This window comes from Homo sapiens, chromosome 2 (assembly GCF_000001405.40).
Source record: "Homo sapiens chromosome 2, GRCh38.p14 Primary Assembly".
NCBI classification, from domain to species: Eukaryota; Metazoa; Chordata; class Mammalia; order Primates; family Hominidae; genus Homo; species Homo sapiens.
In genome coordinates this window covers 26950364-26974789 of record NC_000002.12, presented here as the reverse complement: position 1 = coordinate 26974789, position 24426 = coordinate 26950364, and the positions used below count along the sequence as shown (strand labels likewise).

The following is a 24426-nucleotide window of genomic DNA, read 5'->3' as shown; positions in this document are numbered from 1 at the left end:
CAACAACCCTGTAAAACAGATAGTTATTATTCCAGGGTTATAAATGAGGAAACTGGCATTCAGAGGTAACATAACTCACCCAAGGCCACACAGCCAGGAGATGGCTGGATGGGGATCTGAACTCAAGTCTGCCTGCTTCCAGAGGTCAGGCTGCCTCCGCGCTTCCCAAGGAGAGGGTTTAGAAGTCCTTATGGCTCCCAGAAACTACAAAAGGTTCCATTCTGAGAGGTGGAAGATAAGCCCGCAGCTGCCCAATGTGCACGCTCCTCCTCTCAGCCCCATCTGCCTCTCCACCTTGCTTTCTGGAATGCGGCAGTCTCACAGATAAGAAGTAGAAAAGACTTCAAATACCCAACTTCACATTTGCTTTTCTGTTAGTTGATGCAAATTAAAAAAAGAAAGACCTTCCTGAAGTCAGAATGTGTGATAAAAAATATTATTTTTAAAGTGGCAAGAATAAATATTTAGTTAGACAGTTTGACACAAAATTTTGCCTGGCTGTGCAGCATCTCAGATGACAAAACAAGCCCTTGCCTACAGGGCTAATTACGGACTACTAAATTATTTTTATTAAAACCCTTTGGAACATTATGAGGGATGAGGCAATGTGGTGTTGAAGAATAACTCTAGTCTGGAAATCTGGAGATCTAATCCTGACTCAGCCACTAATAACCACCAACATTCATCTGCCTAGTGTACACAGTTTACAAAGTGTTTTTACATACGTTCTGCATGGGTTGGGTGACCTTAGGTAAGTCATTTAACTCTTGGTGTCTTGTGTCAACTTTAGAAATGAGGGCATTAAACTATACCATCTGGGGTCACCTCCAGTGCTAACATCCTAAGCGAGGGAGACATGTGCCTTGGGACCTTTACAAATGTATCTGTAAGCAAATCAGGGCAGATGCATTCTGTTTTAAAAAACTATATTTTCTGGCCAGGCGCGGTGGCTCACGCCTGTAGTCCCAGCACTTTGGGAGGCCGAGGCGGGTGGATCATGAGGTCAGGAGATGGAGACCATCCTGGCTAACAAGGTGAAACCCCGTCTCTACTAAAAATACAAAAAATTAGCCGGGCGCGGTGGCGGGCGCCTGTAGTCCCAGCTACTCGGGAGGCTGAGGCAGGAGAATGGCGTGAACCCCGGGAAGCGGAGCTTGCAGTGAGCCGAGATTGCGCCACTGCAGTCCGCAGTCCGGCCTGGGCGACAGAGCGAGACTCCGTCTCAAAAAAAAAAAAAAAAAAACTATATTTTCTGTTCGGCTTCTGACAAATGTTACTCGGCTAAATTCAGGAATAGCTCATAAGACGTTTGCTGCCAGTTAGTTGGCTCAGTTTCTGGAGAGTACCACATTAAGACCCTGGGTTGGATTCTCATATGGGAACTTTCCTCCGTTCAATAGCCTCCTACTATGCCTAACTCCAGCCAGTCATCTTACAAATACAACCCCACAATGTGTGCTGGCGTGCAGGAAGGACTAGAAGAAACTCAGCTTCACAATGCATGCACTCTCAGGACGGTAGGTCAGAAACGGCATCATCACACAGGAATACTATCAATAGCATTCTTTCTCAGTTCCAAGATTCACAAATCCCTCCCTCAAGTCTTGCCATTTCCCGAGGGTTTTAATGTTTCTAAAATGAGGATGCACCTTGGAATCAGCATATATATTTTGATCTGGTAGCATTAGATTATTTTACCTAAAAGCTATTGGTAAATTGCTGGTGTGTCTTAGAATCAAGAATACAGTCCTACAAAACCTCAATACCATTACATAGATTTAGGTCTAACTTGGTTCAAATCATGTCCCTCTCCTTGATCTTAACAATTACATTCAGCAACAGCTGGATAGGCAATGTATAAGACAAGTATTAGTCCTGTTTCCTCATAGTAGCAGTTTAAAAGGCATTCCATCATTATCTCATAAAACACTGGTATGGATTTCAAAGGCAAATTAATCCATATAAAAACTACTCTGATCCTCTGAAAATGTACTATCCCATAGCAAACTGGAAAGGAACATTTTACTTACACCCTCCTGATCTATCTAGCCTTGACACATTTTCTTCCTCCTTAATTCACAACCCTCCACCCCAGTAATATCGCTGATTCCCAAAATACACTCAGCCCAGGAGGAGCAGCTCTCCAGTACAGCTGTCTGCTCCTGCCCTGCTCGGGTATTTTGGTGAGCTATGTGACACAGGACCACACAGAAGGAATGCCACTCTCAGGCCCCACAGTTCCCACTGCACCACAGGCAGGTGCATCCCACCAAACCCCAGTCTGGCATTCGAAACAGAAGAAACTGCCCTGCTGGATGGGGGCTATAGTTTTCCTGAACTTCATCTCTATGTTTAAAACTAGGGCGACAGCCGTCTTGGCTACTGTAAACTAATCTGATGGGCATGGGGGCAGGGAGTGGCTATGAGGAGGCTGCCAATAGGCCATGATTGAGCAAAGTAAAGAGTGAAATAGTTATTTCTCATTGTTTGCAACCCCGGAAACTCCAAATGAGTGGCTCCTTCACCATGATTTTTAGAAATGGACCATGCGTTCCTTTTACCATCTGGAGTAAAAATCCCAAAGCCTCTTGTGCGGTAGATCTGGCTTATATTTACACGTGCTTTCTAAAAGCACACTGAAATTTGGAAGCCAAATAAAAAAGAAGCTGACAATGAGGTCATATAGTAGTTAGGGGCCCTCAAGTTGAGACATGTTTATTAAGAGTTTCTGGCTCTGGGCACTAACTCTGACTTCAACTCAGTTCTTCTGGAAAAAGAAAACTGTTTGGGACCCTCTTCTATTCCAAGAACAGGGACTGCAAGATGGGCAGGTGGAGGGGTAGCAAACATAACCCAGGGAATTGTCCAAATATGCTAGAACCCCTATCTGGTGACAGCCCCACAAAGACACACAGCTGGAGGAGGCACAGTGTACAGGCCTCACACCTACACCATGGAGAAGCTTCGATTTTTCTCCTTCCTCTCAACTCTGCACACGTTATGTTAAAAACTCACTACTATCCAATTAGTTAATTTACAGGAATCCAAGATCAAGTCCTGCCACAGCCCCTTCATATATAAACAGTAAGCACTTCCTATGGATGGTATCAGGCCTTTTTCCAAACCTCACATTATACCAGGGTTGTAGTGCGATTTAAAAAAAAAAAAAAGCATTTTAAAGAGTTCCGCAAGATGCTTATTCACAACACCACACCGGAAGCGCAGGAACTTGGAGCTCCCAAACGCAACCTCTTCTCCCTTCCCTCCACTACTTCTACTCCCCGCTCCGCAACACCGGCCGGGCAGTAGCTCAGCCCACTAGAAGGCCACCAGGCACTAGCCGCGTTCATTAAACGCTAGATGATCACGATGGGGCTGAACCCTTCCCAGCCAAATCTATTCGGAAAGCCCTGCAAGCTCTGAGCAGCCAGTGAGAACTGTCCAGACCTGCTTCCCCAAACCAGCCAGGCAGGAGCGTGTGGGGAAGAAACCCGAGGCCCCCAGGCTGGGCCTGGCCCGATGTTCCCCCTCCCCCAAGTCTCCCCTCGCTCTCCTGTCACTCTTTTTCTGGCACATCACTGGGGAGATCCAGAGAGGCCGGGAGATGTCAGGCCTAGGAGGAGTGAGGAGGAGGGAGAAGGGATAAGGGCGGACGGGAGGTAGTTTGGAGAAAATATCAGCCCAGGGCAGAGGTGCGGTGGCCACGTCTAGTGGGGAAGGAGCCTCAAGGTGGACCCGGAGAGACGGAGGGAAGGGGAGGGGAGGGAAGGGGAGGGGGAGTGGCTGGGGAGGCCGGGCCGCCAAGGCCGGAGGGAACCCGGCGACAGGGATGGAGGGGGTTGACCGGCGCGGGGAAGGCGCGGTCGGGATGCGGGAGTGCGGGTGGGGAGGCAGGGGCGGGGGGAGCCCGGTTCCCCTCCCCCAGCCCGGGCCCTGGCCTCCCGCTGACTCAGCCCCACGGCGTCCGTCGCCTCGGCCCGGACTCACAGTGCACGAGGCGGCTCCGGCGGAGGCGGAGGGGGAGGGGACAGGTGGCGGGGGCGCTGCGGCAGAGGCTGCGGCTCCGGCCGGCGGCTCCGGGGCGGAGGGTCCTCGCTGAGGCCGCCGCGGTCTCCGGCTTCAACGCACAGAGACTGCGGGGGACGAGGGCACTGCGCAGGCGCGATGCGGCCGCCGCTGTCAGTCCGAGCGGGGCGGGGCCAGGGCACCCGCCGTCTCCAAGGCAACTGAGCCGCGGGAGGACAGCCCCTACCTCCACCTTGCCTTAGCGATTGCGGCGGGAGGCGGGGGGCGACAGGAACAGGCCCACTGCGTTGCCGTAGCAACGAGGAGAAGAGACCGCTTCAGACGTGTGCGGCGGTACCGAGGGAACGCGCCTACCTCGTCACCATAGCAACTGGGAACAGCCCCTTCCTTTTTCCCTGGCAACAGGGTAACAATCCCTCCGCCCTGTCTCATCACAGGAGGAACAACCGTGTGCACCTGATTTCAGTAGCTGGATGACGGATTTTCATCTTTTATGGCTACGGAAAAGGAAAAAGAGACGTTTTCTTCTCTTTCAGCGACATGGAAGAGCTAAGGCTGGGTTTTATCTCCTCTCTTGGTGTGTGGGTTCCAATCACAGTCTTTTTCTCTAATTCCCAAATTCATTTTTTTTTCTTTTTTTTTGGGACGGAGTTTCACTCTTGTCGCCCAGGCTAGAGTGCACTGGCGCGATCTTGGCTCACTGCAACCTCTGCCTCCTGGGTTCAAGCAATTCTCCTGCCTCAGCCTCCCGAGTAGCTGGGATTACAGGCGTGCGCCACAATGCCTGGCAAAGTTTTTGTATTATTAGTAGAGACAGGGGTTTCATCATGTCGGCCAGGCTGGTCTCGAACTCCTAACCTCAGGTGATCCACCTGCCTCGGCTTCCCAAAGTGGTGGGATTACAGGCGTGAGACACCGCGCCCGGCCCAATTTTTTTCTACCTGTTTTAAACATCCCCTTTCATCTCCTACCAGAGAGTGTGCCCTTTACCCTTAAATCGAGCTAACGAAATCGTCTATCCACAGACCACTTGAGTTTTTGTCAGCCTTATTGTCTCTCTCCCATTGCAAGGATAAACACCTCATTTCTTCATCTTGCTCACTATCTGGTTTGCAGTCCACTTCCTCATAACTAGCTCCCTCTGACATGTCCATTCGTTTTCCCGAATTTCCTCCTCCAAGCATGCTGTTATGGATCTCCTCGGTTCTTCTGGATCTCCCTTTCCTCTCCACACTTGCTGTCCTTGTCCAGCACTGCTCTGCCCGGGGCTCCAGTATGTTCTTTCCCCCTGTGACTTCAGCATCTTGGTTCTCTTTGTGCTGATGTCTTCTGGCTCTTCCTCCCTCAGCCCTGATTCCCATGGATGCCTTGAGGTCACCTTTGTACCAACCCTGTACATTCCTCCTTTCTTACACACACCTTACACTATCGTCATTTGTTTACGTGTCTGTGTCTCCAGACTATGTGACCCTGGTGGGCAGGAATTCTGTCTTTTTCATCAGCTCCCTCAGCATCCACCACAGCATGTGACACATAGCAGATTCTGAGAAATGCTTATGTAATTGAATCAAATGAAGACAAATCTTTTCCTTCTTCTTTTCTCTGGCCTAACTGCCTCAGAGTCCCAGTCCCCATTTCTAATACCTTTACACATAGTTTGTCTTTTAGTACTATGCTACTATTATAAGTCTTTCATCTCCTTAGCTTTCCATCCTGTTAATTGAGACTCTGGCATTCTCTATTTCCTGAATCCTCGCCTCTAGCTCTTCTCTCTTCTACACTATCCCAAATGTTTCTACTAAGGTAAATTTCCTCACTGGGTACCAACCCCGTGACTCCCATACCCTCCATAATCAGCGTAAGCTCTTCACACCTAACCATCCTGATCATCCCCTAACCAGCTCTAATCAAGCCTTCTTGGTGAACGTTACTGGATTCTGCTGGGCTTGTTGACATGCCAGAGATGCAGCATTCTCTTCAAACAACTCAAAAGCAAGAGCTCACAACCTAGCATTCTCTTCCAAATCTCCCTGTCTAGCTCCCACAGATTCCGCCGCAGGACTATTGGTGCCAAAGCACCCCAACTAAGCCCATTTTCTTGGGGAAAAAAGAAGAAAGTTACAAATAGAGTAAGTAAGAAAAGAGAGGGGACACAGCATATCCTCTCTTCTTCCACCTAAAGCAATTATCAGAAAGGAGAGAGCTCTTTGTAGACAATAATTCCCAAAACAAATCAAGGGGTTAGGAGAGTAAAAACCCAGGCTACACTTTTTTCTAGCCACAGAGTTGGACAACTGGAGCTGTTTCTAACTGCATCTGCAGGGTATCTGGGTGTCACCAAGGCAATAGGGAAGTCGCACGCTCAGTTTATCTTGCTTTCCCATTCTGAAGTTCCAGCTCAGCTTCATTGTTACAGGTATAGACTTGGGTGGTGTAGACTGTCCTGAGTAATCCTGAGAAGAAGCTATGATCCTTGTAACCCCACCCCTTTGTCATACACAAGGTAGAGGACCATTCTACAAAGAGTTCCTATATACCCTTCACCCAGATTCTCTACATATTAACATTTTACTATGTGCCATTAACTATTGCTACAAAATGAATCACTCCAATTCAGTGGTTTAAAGCAACAACCATTTCGTTATCTCTATTTCTGTGGGATGGGAATTCAGAAAGCCCGCAGTTGGATGGTTCTAGCTCAAGGTGTGAGTCAGAAGGTGGCTGAAACTTAAACAGCAGGGTGCTTGCTGGACGACTTTTTATGTTGTCTTAGTGCTTATAGATCATTTGTGTAATTTCTTTGCACGAATGTCTAGTCAAGTCCTTTGTCCATTTTTGAATCGGACCGTTTGTTTATTGTTGTTGAGTTTTAGGATTTCTCTATATATTCTGGATATAAATCCCTTATCAGATAATATATGATTTGCAAATTATTATTATTGTTATTGTTATTATTATTTTGGGCCAGAGTCTTGCTCTGTCACCCAGGCTGGAGTGCAGTGGCACGATCTCAGCTCACTGCAACTTCCACCTCCCAAGTTCAAACGATTCTCACGCCTCAGCCTCCCGAGTAGCTGGAACTACAGGCATGCACCACCACACCTGGCTAATTTTTGTATTTTTAGTAGAGACAGGATTTCGCCATGTTGGCCAGGCTGGTCTCAAACTCCTGACTTCATGTGATCCACCTGCCTCGGCCTCCCAAAGTGCTGGGATTAATGGCTTGAGCCACCCACCACACCCAGCCCCAGGACAGTTTTCTAATACTGTTAATTCCACTTCTTTAGCTTGTTTGTTTGTTTAAGACAGGGTCTTGCTCTGTTGCCCAAGCTGGAGTACAGTGGCGTGATCACGGCTCACCTACAGCCTTGACATGCTGGGCTCAAACAATCCTCCCACCTCAGCTTCCCAAGTAGCTGGGACCACAGGGGTGTGCCACCACACCTGGCTAATTTTCTTTTAGATTCTTTTTTTTTGTAGAGATGAGGTCTCGCTATGCTGCCCAGCCTGGTCTCAAACTCCTGGGCTCAAGCAATCCTCCAGCCTTGGCCTCCCAAAGTGTTGGGATTACAGATGTAAGCCCAGGGCCTGACCCTAATTCCACTTGTTGTTGTTGTCTTTGAGACAGGGTCTTGCTCTGTCACCCAGGCTGGAGTGCAGTGGTGTGATCATAGCTCACTGTAGCCTAGACTTCCTGAGCTCCAGTGATCCTCCCACCTCAGCCTCCTACATAGCTGAGACCATAGGCATGTGGCACATGCCAGCTAATTTTTGTGTTTTTAGTAGAGACAGGGTTTCACCATGTTTCCCAGCTGGTCTAGAACTCCCAAGCTCAAGTGATCCACCCACCTTGGCCTCCCAAAGTGCTAGGATTACAGGCGTGAGCCACCGTGCCTGGCCTCCACTTCTTAAATGCCTCTCAAAACTCTTCCCTTCTTTATCTGCTTCACCTTTACCATCTCTTGCCTGGGTTACTGCAGAGCTTCCCGCCTGCTCTCTCTGCCTTCAGCCTCTCTCATCTCCAATCCATTCTTTACACCATTGTCAGAAGGCTCTTTCTAGAAATAAATCTTATCACATAACTATCCTGCTTAAATCCCTATGGCTGTCCTCAGACCTGCTGAAGCAACTTCCGGGATGGGGGATTCATGTAAGGAAACAGGGCGGAAGAAATATAGAATAGATTATCTTCCTCATTTTTTTTTTTTTTTTGACCCAGGCTGTCATGCAGTGGTGCGATCTTGGCTCACTGCAGCCTCTGCCTCCCGAGTTCAAGCAATTTTCCCACCTCAGCCTCCCAAGTAACTGTGACTACATGTGTGAGCCACCACGCCCAGCTAATTTTTGTATTTTTTGGTAGAGATGGGGTTTCACCATGTTGGCCAGGCTGGTCTCGAATTCCTGACCTCAAGTTATCCTCCCACCTTGGCCTCCCAAAGTGCTGGGATTACAGGCACGAGCCACTGTGCCTGGCCCTCATTTGTTTTTTTGAAGTAGGGTCTTGCTCTGTTGCCCAGGCTGGAGTGCAGTGGTGTGATCATGGCTCACTGCACCCTTGAACTCCTGGGCTCAAGCGACCCTCCTGTCTGGGTCTCGAAAAACACTGGATAACAGGTGTCAGCCACCAGGCCTGACCTCTTGAATTTTATTTATAATAAATACATCTTTAAACGTAATCTTTAAATTTTATTTAGAGATTCAGAAAATATTTATCTTATTTTAATTTTAAATGTATTTTTATTTATTTATTAAGGTAAACATTTTTATATTAAAACAAACAGACATAAGATGGAGTAGAATATAAGAATCACATGATTTCAAAGACAAGACCTTTAAAGAGAGTTTGAGCTCAACATGGGCTGCCCTCTATTCCCATGCCTGTGTTATCCACTGCCTTGGGGTACTTTAAGTGGAAAAGTTTGAGAAACATTGGCTTAAAGGATATAAAACTTCAGACATCTTCACATGGTGGACAAGCTCTACTACAATCTGGCCCCTACCAACCATTTCCCCTTCACCTTCTACTCCTTTTGTACCCTATCCCCTACTCCAACTTTTATAGTTCTTGCAGTTGGCCAAGCAAGTGGTTTTGTTTTGTGGCTGAGCCTGCCTTGCAGGGTTGCCCTTCCTTTCCCTTCATCAGGCAAACTTGGACTCATTCTCCAAGACCAGCTTTTGTGTCACCAACTTGGTGGCATGGTCATGGGCCTCCCCCAGAGAACCGACTTGCTCTTTCTTTTTTCTTTTTTCTTTTTGAGACAGAGTCTCGCTCTGTCGCCCAGGCTGGAGTGCAGTGGCACAATCTTGGCTCACTGCAACCTCCACCTCCTGGGTTCGAGCGATTCTCCTGCTTCAGCCTCCCGAGTAGCTGGGACTACAGGTGTGCACCACCACGCCCGGCTAATTTTTATATTTTTGGTAGAGATGGGCTTTCACCATATTGGTTAGGATGGTCTTAAACTCCTGACCTCGTGATCCTCCCGCCTCAGCCTCCCAAAGTGCTGGGATTACAGGCGTGAGCCACCGCGTCCGGCCCCTACTTGCTCTTTCTCCTTGGTACCGGGTCCATTCTTTGTTATGGTTCCCCTTTGCCTTCAGTTATTATGCTTATCCCCATGTTTCCCCATAGGAGGGCCTCACACTCAAAGACCATATCTTATCTACCTTTGTATTCTTAGCACCTTGTACTTTGCATTCTTAACATCTTGGAGTAAAATCACCCAAGCAAGTTGAAAAAAATCTGATCCTTCTGCACTTTCCCCAAGGTAAGTGGGCAAACCAGAGGAGTCTAAGAGGGTGGATTAACTCTGTGAGTTGCGGGGCTAGAGTTTAGATTGGAGCAAGCAAGCCTGCCCTGCCCCGGCTGTGAGGTGGAGACAGGAAGGTGCTGTAAAGTTGGTAATTGTTACCAACTGCATTCATTATTCATTTGAAACTAGCTAGAAGTGGAACAGGGCACTGAAATAAGACTGATTCCCACAATACAGGAAACCTTTGACATGGTTTTGAATGTTTACAAGAGACCTATGTAAGTCATACACAATTTTGCTGAGGAATGAATTTTAATTACATGCCTTGAAATGAATGAGCCCTTATTTAGAGAGTGCATCAACCCTCCTCCCTGCTGGAGTTACACAAGCACTGGGTCCAACACTTCCTAGCTATGTGACCTTGGCCTTGGTTTTTCTCATCTGTAGTTGTGATGGTTAAATGAGATAATGTGTGAAAAATGCCTGGCACTGCCTGATGGATAAATATCCAATAAATGGTGACTATCAACACTAACAAAACTTTCGTAAGGGTCATTCAGTAGGATCACTACTTGATCCCCCCTCTCCGCCCCAGTTATACCTTCTATATAGAAGCTAGTGTGGAAACTGAGAACTTGCAAAGGTCTTAAGACACACCTGTGAACATTAATGACCTGCTGTTTCCAGAATGCCGAGCAACTCAGGGCCCCAGAACTATTCTTTCACCCCTCCCAGCTTCTGCATCTCCATCTGCTGTTCCAGATGCTCTGTAGCCACAATCTGTGCTTCTCTTCATAGTGGTCACCAACTCAAACTTCAAGGGCCAATCCATGCAAAGGTAGTGTAAGATAGAGGTTAGGAACATTGGTTGGGGAGTTGGACTCGAGTGAACACACTAAATCTACCACTTACTTGCTCTGTGGCAAGCTATTTAACTCAGTTTCTCCATCTGTAAATTGGGGACAATAATAGTAAATACCTTGGAGAGTTAATATAAGGATTAAATGAGATCATGTTTATTAGATACTTAGGGCAATGGTGTGGGCATTCAATACATGGTATTAGCTATTATTTCTATTTAAAAGTGAAGTGTGGGCCAGGTGCAGCAGCTTACGCCTGTAATCCCAGCATTTTGGGAGGCTGAGATTGGAGGATCGCTTGAGGTCAGGAGTTTAAGACCAACCTGTTCAACACAGTGAGACCCCATCTCAAATAATAATAATAATAATATAATAAAATAAAAGTGAAGTGTTACATTCATTGTAGACAGTCTCCCAAAGGAGGTAAAGTTAATTGTTACCATGGCTGACACTTTTAGTTGTCTCTTTCTCATGATAATTATATATTATTATTATTATTATTATTATTATTATTTGAGACAGAGTCTCATTCTGTCGCTCAGGATGGAGTGCAATGGCACCATCTCAGCTCACTGCAACCTCCGCCTCCTAGCTTCAAGCGATTCTCCTGCCTCAGCCTCCTTAGTAGCTGGGATTACAGGCGCATGCCACCATGCCCGGCTTTTTTGTATTTTTACAAAAATAGTAGAGACGGGGTTTCACCATGTTAGTCAGGCTGGTCTCGAACTCCTGGCTTCAGGTGATCTGCCCTCCTTGGCCTCTCAAAGTGCGGGATTACAGGCGTGAGCCACCGTGCCTGGCCTGGTAGTTATTTTATAAAACTAGCATATATTCAGATCCTATGGCAGCCAGGCATGAGATACATACAATTTCTTATAACCTCCTTGGTCACCTTCTGAGGTTAGTATTATTCCTTCCTTTTTTTATTTTTTGAGATGGAGTCTTGCTCTGTTGCCCAGGCTAGAGTGCAGTGGTGCGATCTCGGCTCACTGCAACCTCTGCCTCCTGGGTTCAAGCTATTCTCCTGCCTCAAACTCCCGAGTAGCTGGGATTACAGGCGCCCACCACCACACCCGGCTAATTTTTGTATTTTTTTGTAGAGAAGAGGTTTCACCATATTGGCCAGGCTGGTCTTGAACACCTGACCTCAGGTGATCCACCTGCCTCGGCCTCCCAAAGTGCTGGGATTACAGGTGTGAGCCACCACGCCCAGCCAGAGGTTGGTATTATTCTTATTTCCACACATAAACAACAGAGGCCCAGAGAGGTTAATAACTTACCTAAGATAACACAGCTAGTGAACATCAGAAGTGGAGCTTGAACTTAAAGTCAACACCAAAATCCAGACTTCTTCCACTATCCCATGCTTCCTACATTTTCTTGTGTGTCAACATGTCTTTTTTCAAACTCACCTCTAAATGCAGGAGCTACACTTGCTTCCTGTTGTCATGTCTCACACATGCCTGGTAGATGTTCTATAAGCATGGATTAGACAGAAGGTGGAGAACTCCTGTAAATAAACCTAAACTAGAATTGCCACATAAAGACAAGACACTTTAGTTAAATTTGAATTTCAAAAAAACAAAAAATAATTTTTAGCATAAGTATGACACAGACATTATTCGGACATAAACTAAAAAATTATTTTTTATCTGAAATTTACATTTAACTGGGCATTCTGTTTTTTTTGTTTTGTTTTGTTTTTTTTTTATGGGATGGAATCTTGCTCAGTCGCCCAGGCTGGAGTGCAGTGGCACGATCTCGGCTCACTGCAAGCTCCGCCTCCCGGGTTCACGCCATTCTCCTGCCTCAGTCTCCCGAGTAGCTGGGACTACAGGCGCCCGCCACCACGCCCAGCTAATTTTTTGTATTTTTAGTAGAGACGGGGTTTCACCGTGTTAGCCAGGATGGTCTCCATCTCCTGACCTTGTGATCCGCCCGCCTCGGCCTCCCAAAGTGCTGGGATTACAGGCGTGAGCCACCGCGCCTGGCCCGGCATTCTGTGTTTGTATTTGCTGTATCTGGCAACCTTATCCTAAATTCTGAGATTGGTCTTGAAAGGGACAGCTTCCTCCAGGGAGCTCCAGACGGGAGAAGGCTGCTATGGCCACTCACTCGCACTCGAGGCAGAGGAGCCTGAGCTGCTCTGGGGGCAGGGATTGGGGCCTGGTAACCTGGACACACCTGCCATTCCTTCAGCTTTATCTGTTCACATCGTAAGCCAAAGCAGCGACCACTGATGAGCTGAAAGCGCCATCTGGAGGCCTTTACAGGTAGTACAGTGGCCACGGGCCATCCCACAAGATCCAGGACTTGGGGAGCAGAGAAATGCCAAACCAGACAGAGACCACGCAGAAGAGGAAGCCAGCCTGGAGGTGGCCAGGGGCAGGGGAAGATGGATCTTCCTGGCATTTTCGGTTTTCAGCAGCTGCTGCTCTGGCCGCCTGGGGGTGAAGTCACTCTCCACAGGAGGTTACTGGCTAGGGCTTCACGTTCCTGGAATCCTCTGCCTCTCCAGCTGTTCCCAGCTCTTCCCCAGGCTGGAATTCATGGCCTTAGGAGAAGCACCATAACCTGGGTTGGCTGAGGGTATTAGGGCTCATGCTTGAGGGTAGTTTTAAAAATCTTCACCCTCCGTCCTCAGAGGCTCATCAGTCATGATTATCTTCCAAGACAGAACAGTCTTTAATCCCATGGGCCAATAGTTACAGGGAATTTCAGCCCCACTCCAACCTTAAATCAGTAACACATACGTGTATAGCAAAGTACTTAGCATACAGTAGGCGTTTAATAAGCATTACTTCCCTTTTCCCTCTGGATTGAATGCCTCTCCTCCTCACCTCCATCTCATCTTCCCAGGCTCTTTGTATGTGATATGAAAGGCTACCCTTAGCATCTCCTTCTTCCTCAGTCTGGGGGCACAGGCACTGAGGACAGTCGCTCCTGGTGAACTGACCTCCCAAGCGGGCATGGCCTGCCACATCCCCAATCCTTTCGGAGCAGCAGAAGGCCAGATTCTCAGCATCTCTGTCAGCTCAGGGTTCAGATCCCGGGTCTGACTGTGGAGAGATGAACAGAAAGGCTGTGGCAGGTAATCCAGAAAAACAAAACGATGAAATAAATTTAAGGGACGCAACAATGAGTGTGGAAGGGAGGCAAAAAAGATTGAGAGGTTGGGAAGTAGACGTCTGGAGGGAAGATGTGTCCAAGACAGTTAATCCCCAAAGTCGCTCCTTTCACTCACTCTCAGGAAACTCACCTCACAGCCCCCGAAACGCCTTGCTCTGTGGGGGAAGAGGCTGTCTGAGGGCCGGGGAGGATCCCAGGCTCTTGGAGAACCCAGGCAAGGGCAGCAGTTCTGCTTGCTGCTCAGCGAGGGCCTGCGTCGGTCACCTAACAGGCTGGCTGGGATTCTTGACTGTCCTGGATGTAACGCGCTACGGAGGGAAGGTGCCCCAGCTGCTCTCCGGAAGTCCTGAGGGGACTCCTGGGCACATGCTGAGTTCATCAGCTGCTCAGGTTATCAAGAGCTAGCGGGGCATTGTCTTTGCTTCTGCAAAGCCCCTTTGGTCCTTTCCTCTGCATGGGTGAGCACTCTCTCTGGGCACCTTCAGTCAGAAAACTCCATTCTGGAGGGTTGGTGCCACATTTTAAGATAAGGATGGTGGCCGGGAGCGGTGGCTCACACCCGTAATCCCAGCACTTTGGGAGGCTGAGGTGGGCGGATCACTTGAAGCCATGTGTTCGAGACCAGCCTGGCCAACACGGTGAAATCTCGTCTCTACTAAAAACACAAAAATTAGCTGGGCACAGTGGTAGGTGCCTGTAATCCCAGCTACTCAGGAGGTTGAGGCAGGAGAATCGCTTGAAGCCAGGAGTCGAAGGTTGCAGTGAGCCCAGATTGTGCCACTGCACTCCAGCCTGGGGGACAGAATGAGATTCCATCTCAAAAAAAAAAAAAGCAAGTTCTTAGGCCCCACATCAAAACTACTGAATCAGAAACTTTGGTGTGGCGCTTAGCAAGCTGGGCTTAAACAAGTCCTCCAGGTGATTCTGATTCATGCTAAACTCTGAGAACAACCCTGAAAGCATGAATGTAGTGGGCAGAAGTAAAGACTGCAATAATGTGTGAAATTGGAAGAGCTGTTTATGAATAAGATTGTTCTGTGTGCCTTCATAGGAAGAGTTAGGATAAAGGGGCACAAGCTGAAGATAGATAATTTAGTTTCAGTTAAGGAAATGATACTGAATAAATAGAACTTGCGGGGAGTGTGATATATGCCTGCTGAAGGCACGCCGTCACTGGGCTAAACATCCTGCGTCCTGAGTTAGATGATTGGTTAGGGATGTGGTAGAAATTTCTGCAGAGGTTTAATTAGATGTGTGCAAGAAATCTGCAAACTCAGAAAAGCCATGATTTCATTCTTCTTGCAAATCTTTTCTTCTTCAGCTCTTTATCAAGAGCCAGGGCAAACTTTTGGTTGTTCTGCCATTCCCAAGAACCTCTTTCAGCTGAGCATTTATAGCTTTTTGTTACAAACAGGCAAATACTGAGGGCAGGTGGCTATTCTAGCCTGCTGGGCAGGATTTTCTCAGGACTGTTCCATTCTGGACCAGCTGTGCAGCAGCTTAGAGAACAACTTCCTCTACCACCATTCTGGAACTTCCTTATTTTCTTGCTTATGCTGAATGTCCTATTTCCTTCATCCCATGTCTTGTTTTTTTTTTTTTTTTGAGACAGGGTCTCGCTCTGTGTCACCCAGGCTGGAGTGAGTGGCAGGATCTCAGCTCACTGCAGCCTCTGCCTCCCAGGCTCAAGCGATCCTCGTGCCTCAGCCTCCCAAGTAGCTGGGACTACAGGCACATGCCACCACTTCCAGCTAAGTTTTGTATTTTTAGTAGAGACGGGGTTTTACCATGTTGGCCAGGCTGGTCTTGAACTCCTGACCTCAAGTGACCCACCTGCCTCGGCCTCCCAAAGTGTTGGGATTATAGGCGTGAGCCACCGTGCCTGGCCCATGTCTTTTTATTATTCATTTTGGTGGAGCACACTCTCAAATGGACTCTCTAATAGGTTCCAAGGAAGGTCAATCTTTTCAATCTTGCATGTCTGAAAATGACTTTCTTCTATAATACCTTAACAGTTGGTTGAAAGTTTGGCTGGGTACAGAATCCTAGGTTAGAAATTATTTTTCTCAGAATTTAGAAAATCTGCTCCATGATCTTCCATCTTCTAGTATTTCTGTTGACAAATTGAGTGACATTCAATTTCCAATTCTTGTATGCAGCTAGTATTTTTGTCTCTTGCTGGCTCTTGAAGCATCATCTCTGTTGTTCAGAAATTTCATGATGATGTCTCTTCAATCTGGAAATGCATATTTTTTAGTTTGGGAAATTTTCTTTTATTATTTCTTTGATAAACTCCCTTGCTTTGTTTTTTCTGTGCTCTTATTTCTGGAATTCCTGTTAGACTGATCATCTAATTTTCTTGTCTTTCCTGTTTTCCTTTTGTCTTTTAATGAATCTATTCTCTTTATCTTTAGAATTTTCATTTACTCCTTGAGTCGTGTTTCCTCTGAGATACTTTGTTCTTATGTTTGTTTTGGGTTGTTTTTTTTTTTTTTTTTTTTTTTTTTGAGACAGAGTCTCACTCTGTTGCCCAGAGTGCAGTGATATGATCTTGGCTCACTGCAACCTCCGTCTCCCAGGCTTAGGTGATCTCCCACCTTAGCCTCCTGAGTAGCTTGGACTATAGGCACATGCCACCACACTTGGGTAATTTTAAATATTTTATTTATTTATTTATGGAGACAGTGTTTTTCCATGTTGCCCAGGCTGGTCTCAAACTCCTGGACTCACAAAATCCACCCACCTCAGCCTCCCAAAGTGCTGGGATTACAGGCCTGAGTCATTGCGCCTGGCTGGCTGGACTGTCTATCTTTTTGGAGGTTTTCTTCATCTTTAAGAGTAAGACGCAAACCGGCTAACTGAAAGATTGAAACTCATGCGTGGGGCATGTGGGTTGAGGTGTCTCACCATAGAAGGATTGCATGGGAACTGGCCAAATTACTACCGGATCCCTCAAATATCAGAATGTAAGTATTTTCTCTTCATGCCAGTTAGCTTGCCTAGAGAGGGATCCTCAGATTTCTTGCCTGGGGAAATACAGTTCTCTGTATTGGTTATGGTAGACGGCATGGGAAGGAGGCTGGGAATAGGCTGATGTCACTGTTCAGTGTTCTGTCCTTCTCTAAATCCACCTAAATTCATCCTCTCCCCTTGGCAGCCTGAAAGAGAGTGGGACAGTTGCTTGCAGGAGCTGGAGGATCTATGGGTCTAACTGCTCCTCTCAGAGAATTTTAGCCCGTCATCCTGATTTCACTCTCTGGCCTTTGGAGATCCCAGGAGCTGCTACTGGGGATTCTTTATTGGGCTCTGGGGAGCTAAATGGCTTCTCATTGGTTGCCTTCATGGCAGGCAGTCATTTCAGCTTCCTCCACGCTGCACCCGCTCATCCATTTATTTTATACCTTCCAAATTTTGTTGATATCCCTCATAAGCCATAATCTCATTTCCCATTATCTTTTCCCATGTGGCTTAACCCTTCTTTTTAAATGTCACTTTGGTGAGGATTTGAGAGGGAATATAGAGAAATAGGTGTGTTAATTTGCCACATATAACCATTAATCTACTCATTGATTTTACATTTGTTTTGTTTGAAAAGTGCATAAAGCTCTAAGTTTAACTCTAAATGACATTAGCTAGATACCACACATTTTATGTTTTGTATGAAAATATTTCTATTTTGTATAAACACGTCACAATTTACTTGTATTTTTCCTTAATGGTTTCTTGATGTTGTGGTTTATGTCTAATTTCATTGCAATGCGAGCAGAGAACAAAGTCTGTGAAATATTAATACTTTGGAATTTTTTGAAACCTGCTTTGTGGTTTAGTAAATGGTCAATTTTTATAATATAATTCTTTTATTGTGGTAAAAGACATGTATTGGCTGGGGGTGGTGGCTCATGCCTGTAATCCCAGTACTTTGGGAGGCCGAGACAGGTGGATTGCTTGAGGTCAGGAGTTTGAGACCATCCTGGCTAACATGGGGAAACCCCGTCTCTACTAAAAATTAGCCGGGCGAGGTGGCACATGCCTGTAGTCCCAGCTACTCGGGAGGCTGAGGCAGGAGAATTGCTTGAACCCAGGAGGCGGAGGTTGCGGTGAGCGGAGATCATGCCGCTGCACTCCAGCCTGGGCGACAGAGAGAGACTCCGTCAAAAAAAAAAAAAAAGAAAGAAAGAAAGAAAGAAAGCCTGGCTGCTGGAAAATTGAAGTTTGAAGAAGCCTCAGCAACTCCCACATGTGGTGGCTAGTCCTAAAATACCAGTGATGGAGCCTCCAGCTTTCCTCTTCTGTGCACGCCAGGAACCCTTCTGTCAGATGCGTGCAAGATGGGAAGGGGCCGTCAAAGCACTGCCACTGAAGTTTCCTTCCCTTTAGGACTCAAAATGCCCACCGTCCTCCCCAAGAGAAGTTGTTCTCCAGCAGCTCTGATTCCTCAGCAGTAAAGGAATCAAAGTCTATCCCCGGGGGCAGTCTATTTTACTGAAATTAACCCCTGCAGTGTCTTGAAACTTGGCATCATTGGGGACTGATCAAAAGACAATAACTCTCTTCAGGGTAAACTTAGACTGTAAAACTTCAGAGGATTTTTTTTTTGAGACGGTGTTCACTCTGTCACTAGGCTGGAGTGCAATGGCATGGTCTCAGCTCACTGCAACCTCCGCCTCCTGGGTTCCATCGATTCTCCCACCTCAGCCTCCTGAGTAGCTGGGACTACAGGCGTGTGCCACCACGGCTGGCTAATTTTTGTATTTTTAGTAGAGACGGGGTTTCACTATGTTGGCCAGGCTGGTCTGGAACTCCTGACCTCGTGATCCGCCCGTCTCAGCCTCCCAAAGTGCTGAGATTACAGGCATGAGCCACTGCGCCCGGCCCAGAGGATATTTTAAAATCAAGAATTCCAGTAAAATGAGGCATAGTGGCTCACGCCTGTAATCCCAACACTTTGGGAGGCCAAGGCGGGAGGATCGCTTGAGCATGGGAGTTCTAGACCAGCTTGGGCAACATAGGGAGACCCTGTCTCTACTATAAAATTGAAAAATTAGCTGGGAGTGATGGTGCATGCCTGTGGTCCCAGCTACTCTGGAAGCTGAGGCGGGAGGATCGACTGAGCCCAGAAGGTCGGGGCTGCAGTGAGAGGTGATTGCACCACTGCACTCCAGCCTGGGTAACAGTGGCAGACCCTGTATCCAAAAGAAAAAAAATTCCAATAAAGCAAGAGGCACTGAGCAGATGATGAAATTTAAATATGCATAATTGTAAGCAACTGTTTTCAGTGTGAAGCGATCTTTTTTCCCCCTCGAGGTGATAAATTAATGCAGAATGTGAAATCAGGAATTTTGGATATTGCATAAATGATTTCAATGAGAATTTGAGTTTCATGGCTAGAAATATTCCAAAAGGAAAAAAAATTTGAGTTTCTGCACTAAAGCTAATAGCTAAAGCTTTTTGTAAATGTGATGTCAAATGTGGGATTTTGATAGCAGTATAGGATATTGCTACTGAAATGCATCACAGTTGGAAAAATGTGTGCTTTATCAATTTGTTCAATAAAACTCACATAATCTGAAGTTATGTAAATCAATAGAAAGCTTCAACAGCTTTCTGGATAGCATTAAAATAATAAATTATACTTTCTTAACAGTTGCTTATTAATTTTACCTGGTTAGTCTCTGTTTTTCTTTTCCTAGAATTTCAGATTGGATTTTGGAAGTTTGGACTTAAATAGCTTTAAGGTAATGGACACTTGTTATTCAAAGGCTTCACAAAGTTGGTTATGTAGTTAAACTGAGCCTCTCTGTGTGTCTGCATGTAAATGCGTGTGTGTGTGTGTGTGTGTGTGTAAATCCCTAAATTAAAGCTTAAATTTTGACCCATGAGTCAAGAGGATTTCAGATAAAACCTCAAGAGCTCGTATTTATGTGAATATTTCTTGTTACTGCTATCTTTGTGTCTTTGTGCCCCACAGGCAAATAGTCTTTTTTTTTTTCTTTTTTTTTAGGCGGAGTCTCACTCTGTTACCCAGGCTGGAGTGCAGTGGCGCAATCTCCGCTCATTGCAGCCTCTTCCTCCTGGGTTCAAGCGATCCTCCCACCTCAGCCTCCCAGGTAGCTGGGATTACAGGTTTGCACCACCATACCCAGATAATTTTTTTGTATTTTTAGTGGAGACAGGGTTTCACCATGTTAGCCAGGCTGGTCTTCAACTCCTGACCTCAAGTGATCTGCCCACCTTGGCCTCCCAAAGTGCTGGGATTACAGGTGTGAGCCACCACGTCTGGCCAAAAGTCTTACAACTGATACTGAATTTCAAAAAATTCCTAACTGCGAGAATCATCTAGCAAACACCGGAAAAACTTAGTATAGCAATACAAACCATATTTAGTTGCTTAAAGAAGTCACATACTGTAAAAAGAGAAGCTTTTAGCTCATAAAAGGGAACCATATAAATTTGAAAAGGTAGATCCGACTTTAGCCAGGTGATCAAAGTCAACATCATCAGTAATAGGTCATTTTCATAGTATATACCCTTGATGCGACGTGAGGAAAACGGCACCTTGCTTTTATGGTCTTCCTTTTAAAAACTCTTAACACCAGCCTAACCATTTAGAAAAACAACAGACAAATTCCAGTAGAGAGTATTCTATAAAATCTCTGAACAATATTTCTCAAAACTTGTCAAGGTCATCAAAAACAAGGGAAGTCTGAGAAACTGTCACAGTCCACAGAGCCTCAGGAGACATGACAACTAAATGTAATGTGGTGTCCTGGAGGAGATCCTGGATCAGAAAAGGGACATTCGATAAAAACTTAGGAAATCTGAATAGGCATGGACTTTAATTAATGATAATGTATCAGTGTTGGCTCACTGATTTTAACATGCTAATGTAGGATGTTAGTAATAGGGGAGGCCGGGTGTGGAGTAGATGGAAACTCCGCACTATCTGTGCAGCTGTAAATCAGACTTTTCTAAAAAATAGTCAATTTAAAAAAAGCTACACAGGGATAGAATGTGTTGCTTTAAATGTAAGGAAACCTTAAAATACAAAGGATCTAATTTATTTAAACATTTTTAAAGGAGGCAGAACTCACTGGGCTAGAAGTGATATATACACACATTGCACTAATAACTGTGCATTCAGTTATTGTAGATGACCAGGTAGTGGTAAAGTGAAAATTAGGTGCACTGGAAATTTGAGATTGGAGTGGAGCTGGTAAGCAGACCTTCCTTGCACCCTCTAGGAGTTGACTTGTCATCAAGAAAAGACTTGAGGCCAGGCGTGGTGGGTCACACCTGTAATCCTAGCACTTTGGGAGACTGGTGGATAGCCTGAGCCCAGGAGTTTGAGACCAGCCTGGGCAACATAGGGAAACCCAGTCTCTACAAAAAATACAAAAATTAGCCAGGTGCAGTGGTGCACACCTGTGATCCCAGGTACTCTAGAGGCTGAGGTGGTAGGATTACCTGAGCCTGGAGGTCGAGGCCACAGTGAGCTGTAATTGCATCACTGCACTCCAGTCTGGGTGACAGAGCAAGACTCTGTCTCAAAAAATAAATAAATAAAATAAAAAAGAAAAGACTCAAAGCTAAAGCCCAGTGAGAGCTTATAACTGGCAGGAGGTATAGAATTAAGAAAATAAAAGTTTTTAAAGAACCAAGCCCATAGTGTCAAAATTTTTGTATTAATTGGAAATCTGGGCATATTTGGTATTTTATTTATTTCTATGAGAACTTTTTGGGCTATTAAAGTGAGCATCTCATAATTAACTTAAAATGTGTAACTTGGCCAAGCGCAGTGGTGCACACCTGTAATCCCAGCACTTTGGGAGGCTGAGGCGGGCAGATCACGCGGTCAGGAGTTCAAGACCAGCCTGGACAACATGGTGAAACCTCATCTCAACTGAAAATACAAAAACTAGCTGGGCGTGGTGGTAGGTGCCTGTAATCCCAGCTACTTGGGAGGTTGAGGCAGGAGAATTGCTTGAACCCAGGAGGCGGAGGTTGCAGTGAGCCGAGATCCTCCACTGCACTCCAGCCTGGATGACAGACAGAGCAAGACTCTGTCTCAAAAAAAAAAAAAAAAAAAAAAAAAAAAGTGTAACTTAAAACTTCTAATTTTAGGTTGAAATATTGTTTATTCTTAGCATCAAAACAACTAATAAAGTGTGAAACTCAGTATATTTATAAGTTTAATTTATTAGATTGGTAATAATTATTTGGTACTTAGGAAAGGTATTTAAAAGGGAAATCAAATTTTAAATGTAGTTGAAAATGTTGTAAGGTGTTCAAGTTCATAAATGGAATCAAAGTCACCTTAAAAGCAAATGATAGAATTTGGTAGGGTTACAGCTTCTAATGGAACAATGAGGTCTACGAGGCAAACTGAAAAAGCTTAGAAAAGCATTTGCAGGCCTTCCCCACCCTGTGGCATCCCCGGCTACTGAGACTCATCAAGCCTCCAAGAGCTGTGTGAAGACGCTGGGCTTGTCATGCAAACCCCTAAGTCACCACCCACTGTGGAAGGACCCATCTTCCGCATCTCTTACAATGCCATGTCTTGTCTTTCAGCAATGGAAAAATTTTTAACTCCTGGACAGGCACAGTAATAGCCCAATGAATGTATAGGTATACAGAAAGTGACCATGTAATTTATTATACAAACCAGGACATGTTTGACAGTGAAAGTGGACACTGTTAATAATTATTCTGGGGCAATAGACTTAAACCAGGATTGCCCTGAGCAAACCAAGACATCTGGTCCCTCTAGTTCTAAATGTATGGTTGTAAATCCAGAAGGGAAAGTAAAGAACTCACTTTCCATCATAAGACAGTACCCAGTGTCAGCAAAATGCCAGATCCTTTACTGTTCTACTGGGAAAGCTCTAAGAGCCCTTTCAAATGTCTGTTGTTACAACACTGTCAAATAGCCTGTTATTAACTTAGGACTCTAAGGTCTACCAGCCCCTACATATCATGAGGTTTCTTCTTCACACCTGGGTGTCATGAGACCCTGTGTCTTCCACTGACTAAAAAGCAATTTTTTTTTTTTTTTTGAGACAGTCTCGCTTTGTCGCCCAGGCTGGAGTGCAGTGGTGTGATCCCACCGCCACGCTCGGCTAATTTTTTGTATTTTAATAGAGACTGGGTTTCACTGTGTTGCGCAGGCTGGTCTTGAACTCCTGAGCTCAGGCAATCCTCCCGCCTTGGCCTCCCAAAGTGCTAGGATTACAGGCGTGAGCCACTGTGACTGGCCGACCACAATGCAATTCTTAGCGTTAGTCTCTACCGGTGTACAGAGGTCAGTCTGTAATTCTGAGTTAGAAAATAGAGGCTGGTGGCTGCCTAGCTGCTGACTGGTGTGGTTTCTCCAAATCCGGATTCTCATAAATGATCAAGCCTTATTTTAAAGTCTGAGTCTGTGGTCTTTGATTTTTCTACAACTACATACATAAAAAGGCACCCTATGTCTTCCTGGGTATCTTTTATTTTTTCCCTGTAGACTGCCTGATAGACGCCTTGTGCCAAATGTGTGGTCATATTATTTTTTTCATCCAAACCCAATGGATTTTTGGCAGTTAACCCAATTCTGGTGTGCTCTCCTGTTGTGGGAAAACAGGGTAACAGACACTTTGGCCCAATACATTGCAGGGACTCGGCATCCATCTCAAGCTGGCAAATCCATCTCAACCTTCGAATTTTAATGTTAAGAAATAAGTACAGTGACCACATAGTACTAGAAGCCACAGTTTATTTTTATTTTTATTTTTTTTGAGACAGAGCTTCACTCTTGTTGCCCAGGCTGGAGTGTAATGGCGCGATCTTGGCTCACTGCAACCTCCGCCTCCCGGGTTCAAGCGATTCTCCTGCCTCAGCCTCCTGAGTACCTGGGATTACAGGCATGCACCACCACACCTGGCTAATTTTGTATTTTTTTTAGTAGAGACGGGGTTTCTCCATGTTGGTCAGGCTGGTCTGAAACTCCTGACCTTAGGTGATCCACCCGCTTCGGCCTCCCAAAGTGCTGGGATCACAGGCATGAGCCACAGCACCCGGCCTTAGAAGCCACAGTTTTACCCTTTAGTGTGAAAGAGTTTAATCAGATAATCCTCCTAACATCTGACTGAGCTCTAGAGGGAAGGTAGAGGGGTCTCAATGCAATGGATGGGGTTGAGACTACAGAGGGCCAACTCCAAAAGCGGGGTTCTAGACAGCCGGAGAGCAGCTGGAAGGTCCTTCAAAGGCATATTGGCCTTGGGACAGCGCTTTGTCTTGTGATTTTTTTTTTTTATGAGGCCATCGTTCCATCAGCCAAACGTTCTGCCGAGTGGAGAGGTGGCTATGGGCTTCCAAAATGGTAGCCAAGAGAATACGCGACTATAGGTAGATGGAGTGAGTCTAGTTTTTTTCCCTTTTGCATCTAATTCTTCCTCCTAATTATTTCAGATAATTTGGCAACCTTGTCCCTGGAAATCTGGCACCACTGGGGCTCCTGTCTCTCAGAATTAAAAAAAAAAAAAAATCCAGTCTCTGCACAAGCCTCCCAGTGAGCTGCCACCCAATAGGAGAGACAGATCAAAGCTGCCTTTTCTTAGCAACTGAAGCCTTGCCCAGCCACCGTAGAAGAGATCTCTGCCAAACTCCCTCCTCTTTGAAGAAACACA

At 45.9% G+C, this 24426-nt stretch overlaps 1 protein-coding gene and 1 long non-coding RNA gene across 3 annotated transcripts in view, besides 1 other annotated feature; one reads left to right on the top strand and one right to left on the bottom strand.

Moving 5' to 3' along the window:
* Window positions 1-4153, bottom strand: part of MAPRE3 (microtubule associated protein RP/EB family member 3) — a 56583-nt gene extending 52430 nt beyond the window's left edge. For both annotated transcript variants that reach the window (NM_012326.4, NM_001410716.1), the window contains exon 1: window positions 3988-4153. The gene's annotated coding sequence lies outside the window, so the exon portion shown is untranslated. The remainder of the gene's footprint in view (window positions 1-3987) is intronic.
* Window positions 3939-4268: a silencer, noted in NCBI's record as "silent region_11278". NCBI's record gives its function as "represses an Ori minimal core promoter by ATAC-STARR-seq in GM12878 lymphoblastoid cells {active_cell/tissue: GM12878}" and the evidence as "EXISTENCE:reporter gene assay evidence [ECO:0000049][PMID:35858748]".
* Window positions 9718-24275, top strand: LOC124905979 (uncharacterized). Its single transcript, XR_007086251.1, has 3 exons — window positions 9718-9791; window positions 19456-19500; window positions 24209-24275. It is a non-coding gene; the product is annotated as an uncharacterized LOC124905979 (long non-coding RNA).
* The last annotated feature ends 151 nt before the right edge of the window (window positions 24276-24426 follow it).